The 5,927-nt window shown below is 43.9% G+C and overlaps 1 annotated feature.

The window, feature by feature from the left end:
* Nucleotides 3,138–4,337: an enhancer, noted in NCBI's record as "MED14-independent group 3 enhancer chr20:19077722-19078921 (GRCh37/hg19 assembly coordinates)". NCBI's record gives its function as "activates an origin of replication core promoter dependent on BRD2, BRD4, P300/CBP and CDK7 cofactors, and independent of MED14, by STARR-seq in HCT116 cells {active_cell/tissue: HCT116}" and the evidence as "EXISTENCE:reporter gene assay evidence [ECO:0000049][PMID:35650434]".

A 5,927-nucleotide genomic window follows, 5' to 3' on the forward strand; every position in this document is an offset into this window, starting at 1 on the left:
GACGGGACTTATAAAAAAGAAGCTCACAATGACCCAGTTTTCAGAAGAGACTCTGCCCTGGCCTCCCACATAGCTCCAAGCAGTTAACCAAAGAGTGATGGTGACCCAGATTATTAGCAACCAGGGGACCTATTAAACCAAGGCAATGGTAGCGTATGTATATCCCCAGAAGAAGAAACCTAGTTGCTCTAAGTTTTGCTAGTGTGTAAATGACTGATCTTTAACTCTGGTTTGAGAATGGATTTTTAAAATAATATTGCCTTAAGATATTGCCATCAGGACAGTGTTGTCAGAGAAGTATAAATTTTTGCTGTTTCACCCTCATTTCTTACATCATCCCATTTCTTGAAAGGCAGGCCCTGGGAAGAGAATATCTAAAATTCTAACAAAACCTAGAAATTAGGCTCGGTTCTCTCTGATTGAAAGGTGATAATACTGCCTGCTTCAAGTAAGACACACACAGAGAGAGAGAGCTGGGGATATGATTTCCTAAAGGCAAACCCAGCTAATGCTTGATGAAGCTCAGTCCCCAATCATCTTAGGATGCTACCGTGGGTTACAGGCTGTAGTTTTCACAGTCGCCTTGCTTCCCAGTTTTGCAGTTCCCAGCTGATTGTCATAGCCCACTTGGGGCTTACCCACAATATCCAGCCTCTTAAGACCCAGTTGCTGGGCATGATTCTAACTGCTGAGGTGGGCATGTACCAGCTCATGAGAACCAACTGTTAAATATTCAGGAAATCATGAGCTAGTTGTTAAACACAGCCATTATTATTCATTAAATTATATAAAGTTAGTTATAATTAAATACATTGTATTATAAATAAAGAGCATGATTCATCATGCTTATTATTTTACTTATTATTTTACTACATTTTACTACATTACTACCTTATTATTTTAGTACATTTTCCTGTTTTCTATGATTATTTATTGTCTCTTACCTCTATAGAGTGGAAATACTACACAGTATGTGGTGTGCCACTACACTCCCCCTCCCAACTGGGACATCACTTTTGCATCTTGAAATTCACCATGGTGGGAGTATTTACCCATGAAAATAGGAAATGCTACAAATCAAGGTATTTTTGTCCTCTCAGGGTGCTGGTTGTTAAACTCTGAGTTGGGATGATTAGTTGTTCCAAGTGCACACTCGGGAAATACCCATGACTGGGGTCAGTATGACACAGTGGCCTGGCCTTATGAGCAGTCAGAGGCTACAGAAGCAGGTAGCAGGTTATGTCTAAGCCTGGCATCAGATCAGAAACCAGGCAGTCAGAAAGTGCGCAGAGGGTCGAGGTCAAAGCAAAAAAGGAGATTAAAAACCAGTCAGAAGGACAGCCAATCAAAAGTGCTCACCCCCAGGAGGCCTCCAGCCAAGACAACTGTGGCTGATGCCGTGCTGTGGGCACCCCTCCCATGTCTGCCCAATGTCCACTGTCCTACAGGTGCTGACTCATCCTGCTATGAGTACCCGCAGCCTTCACCTGCAAGTGCCAGGAAGTTCATGTCCCTGGTATTGGCTGGTAATGGACAAGAGTTGGAGGATAAACACCCTCACTTTGGTGCTGTATCTGAGATGAGTTCCACCATCTTCCAGGGGTTCCCTGGCTGTATATTTAGAGAAACAGCACTTCAAAAATATCTGATATATCCAGCAAGGCAGAGAGCCCCATTGTCCACTCCTGTAACCTGTTCACTAACACACTTTTGATTGGTTTTCTTCTTCTTGTTGCACTTCCCTACTCGCCTTTTGGTGTTTTCTGGGTTTAAACCTCAAATAAAGCCTTTGCACTCAATCCTTGTCTTAGCGAGACCAGGAAAAGTCTTACGTGCTCCTGTTGAGGCCAGGGTCCCTCCTGGCATGGCTGGTTAGTGCACGGCTGGCTAGGAGATGCAGGGCAGGTCTGCTGATGTGCCCTGGGACAGTGGTTGGGAGAGGAGGCATGAGCAGATCCCGACATGGAGCCACCCTGAGACAAACCTCCTTGTCCCTGTCCCGCATTCCAGGAAAAGCCTCACTCACATGCCCTGCAGGGGGCATTTCACATGGTAAGCAGGGGAGGCGCCCATCCTGAAATCCTGGCCCACTGCAAACTTGCAGTTCACCAGGAGGTAAAGACACCACTCCACTCCCTTGTTTGCTTAATCTGGAATCACCCTCCCCACTTGAGAGCCTTGTGCAGTTATTTGATTCTTTGGCTGTTTCAGCAGTTCACAGTGTTGCTTGTTGGTGACTGGCTGTATATTTAGAGAAACAGCACTTTAAAAATATCTGATTGTTCTGCTTATCTCCTGCAGAGGCACCAGGTTTTTATAAATTAAGGATCTGCTAATTGCCACAAGAATTCAACTGTTAAACAGAAAATGGATAAATGCAGGCCCAGAGACACTATGCCATCATCTTCCTATATACACACACATGTGTATATATATATTATATGTGTGTGTATATAATACACATGTATACATATGTATTTTGTATATACATGTGCATGTAATATTTATGTATAAAATATATAAATATGTATATATACATGTGTATGTACATATATACATATTTATATATTTACATATGTATATATGTATATGTACATATATACATATTTATATATTTACATATGTATATATGTATATGTACATATATACATATTGCATACTACATAACATAATATATAGTATATATTATATGTATAGTATGTAATATATGGTATAATGTAGCATAATATAGTATAGTATAATATAGTATATTATTGTATAGTATAGTGCAGTATATAATATATAGTACAATATATGCAATACTATACTATATATACATTATATATAGTAAATATATTATGTAGCAGATAATGTTTATAAATACTATTATGTAGTATATTTTATATATATATATACACTTGTGTGTGTTTATGTGTGTATGTGTGTATGTATATATATTTTAAATTTGATTGAAAGGACTAGTGATAAATAATGTGTCTCAGAGGACTGTTGCCTTTGCCATAAACAGGTTGTCTGTTTCTCCCATGGGGTTGAGCCTGGTTCAGTTCCACATCTGCAGAATCCAAGCTGACTTGCTGAGCAATGGCCTGGTGGGAATGTGCATTGTGACTCAGCAAAATGTCCCAGTGTATGTTCCCATACATAATCTTATTTTATGATTCTTCTCTTCATGGTTTGCAGTTAGGTTGTTGCTGTCTTTTTGTGCTGTGTTCTTGCACACATTATTTTTGGATACATTGGGATATACATAAATTTAGCGTCATTACCATTGATAGTAATAACTATAATGGCGTTTAAGTAACCAGAGCCAGGCTGAAGCAGAACCGTCATTGGCAAATTGTCCAAACTCTTACATAAGTCAGGGGTCAGTCCTCAAATCAGAAATCATTCTAAGTCTTTCACTGAAAGAATATTTAGCACAGGGAATTAGTGGCACATGTGATAGAGGCCAAGAGACAACAGAGGGGCCTGTGAGGCAGCCTGGAGGAAGATGGGGCCCCCGCTGGGCTGCAGGAGAGAGGAGAAGGTCAGAACCCAGAAGCTGGGACTGCCCATGGGTGGTGGGACCATGAAGGAGTTGCAGGGAGGGCAGGAGGGAGAGAGAGAGAGAAAGAGACACAGAGACAGAGACAGAGACAGAGACAGAGTGAGAAGAGGGAGAGGGGAGAAAAGGAGAGGAGAGAAAGGCACCTTACCTTGTCTTCCTTCTCTCTTCTGATTTTCCACCAGGGCTCTCACTGGCAAAATCTACTTGTTTCCAGCAATACAGAGTGGATCTGGGCATGGGCAGAAGATGGGTACAGCAGAAATTTGGCAGTTACTCAGCATGAGCTGCTTTCTTCACACATGGACACAACCACAAATACCTGCATTTTCTTTTCTCCCCACCAACTTCCAGTCTTTTAGTTTGCTTTGCCCTGTGAAGGCTTGTAGTCTTTTCTACTCCTCTTGTCAGTCAGGAAAATTACTCTGATAATCCTTGCACAGCAAGGTGGTAGACACATCCCATGCTTGATTTGGGGGGTGGTGGTCTTTGGCCACAAATAAATCAGAAGCCCACTATAGCTGACTTAAGCAGAAAAAGAATTTATTAGGGGAAGTGGATGTTCCCATAGGCTACACACAGACAGGAGAGCAAGGCTTGCGGCACCTCCCCGAGGAGGACACCCAAGGGGCACCATGGCCCCACTGCCATGCAGACACGCTTCTGTGGGAGTGCTAGCCCTGGGCTCCACCCCTAGATGTCCACTGCTGACTCTCCTGGAAATTGATGTATTTGCCTTTGCTCTTGCATGAGTTCCAAGCACAGAGTTGCATGCTCTGTGCATGAGTTCCAAGCACAGCCTGATTCTCTCTGTGGCTGTCATTCAACCCAAAGTCCCAGGAGCGCGAGTCTGGTCTGTGGAGCCCAATCACATGACGTACCTTAGCTGCAAAGAAAGCTGGAACATGGGATTCAGAACTTAACCTGGGGAGGGAGGGACTCTTAACAAATTCCCCTAATGCAATGACAAGGGATTAACTGTGTTAAACATTGACAAATCCTCCATATATACTATATCACCAATTGAGTTAAAAAAATAGGTAAGCTGCTATTTAACATGGAATCTGAGGCTTGCGGGCAGTGGGTGAGGGAGGTGAGAAGAGATATTTTGGGTCACAAAGGGAGCTTCTGAGGGCTTCTCAATGTCCCCACATGGAAGACATCCTCCTTCACCAGCCCTGGGGTGCTGCCTCTGTGAAATATCATGGATTTCAACAAACCTTAAGGTCTGGTCTGTGAAACTTCTGTCTGCTAATTTGCAAGTTGGCAGGAAGGAAGCACCTTGGCACTTTTTATAATAGGCTTTGGGCAATTATTTGTTTGCCTGTTTCTATTCTTTTAAATTACTTGCATTAAAATAAAATACTATCTTTAAAGCTTCTACATTGGCCCAGATCGTCACAGTTTGCAAAGCCACTGCTCTTCTACCATCTCCTTTGACCCTGACAACAGCTTGGCAGTGAGCAGGCTGGGTGTGGCCTCCATTTTGCAGAGGAGGAAACTGAAGTTCTCAGTGTTGCAGAGGAGGAAACTGAAGGTCTTAGTGTTGCACAGACGACTGTGGCGGAGACAGAACCCAAACCTGACCTTTGCCCTTCCCAAGTGGCCTTTCCATACCCTTTGAGTTCTGAGAGACAGGGAGTTCACAGAGGTGGCACACGGTAGGTCTCTGACCAGCCACAGCCTGCTGCCTTCGGGGCAGGTGGCCGTGTGTTCAGAGTTCCTAAAGGCTGGCTGAGGCCAAGGTAGATGGAAGGCATTCTGCCTGCTGCCAGCTGGTCTCCGAGCTCACTGTGGACAGTGTCCACAGCTCACCTTCTGTCCCTGCACTGGCCCTAGCTCAGGGTAAGTGTGCATTAGATGCTGACTGAATGACCGATGAGCATGTGCTCACAGAAGGTCAAAAATAGAAGCTTCCCTGAAGGCTGAGGCTCCAGGGACAGCATTTCCTGGCTTTAGAGTGACTTACACTCAAATTAAGAGAAATTCCACATTGCCTGTGACTTCAGAATCTTCTGTTGTCTGCTGTGGCCTGAGACTTCAGAACCCTCTCTCATATGCTACCTGATGACTTTTCTTAGTCCTTGTCTCTCAAGAAGAATCAGGCACAAATTTCAGAAATGTCCACAGTGGCAATGCTTGGCGAGCGCAATCTTTCCGTGAGTTTGGCCTGAGCTCCTTTGCCCATCGTTGCTGACACCAGAGCAACTGCTAAGGGAGGCACCAGGGGCCGAGAGAGGGCGTCCAGAAATGTGGGGCTTAGTAGGAGAGGAAGCACAGAGTCAGATTACAAGTCAATTCCCAAGAACATCTCTACTTTCGGGCGGGGTGTGTGTCTTTACCGTGAGCCAGGTGGATTCCTGCACGCTTTATTTGAATCATC

This window comes from Homo sapiens, chromosome 20 (genome assembly GCF_000001405.40).
Source record: "Homo sapiens chromosome 20, GRCh38.p14 Primary Assembly".
Taxonomy (NCBI): domain Eukaryota; kingdom Metazoa; phylum Chordata; class Mammalia; order Primates; family Hominidae; genus Homo; species Homo sapiens.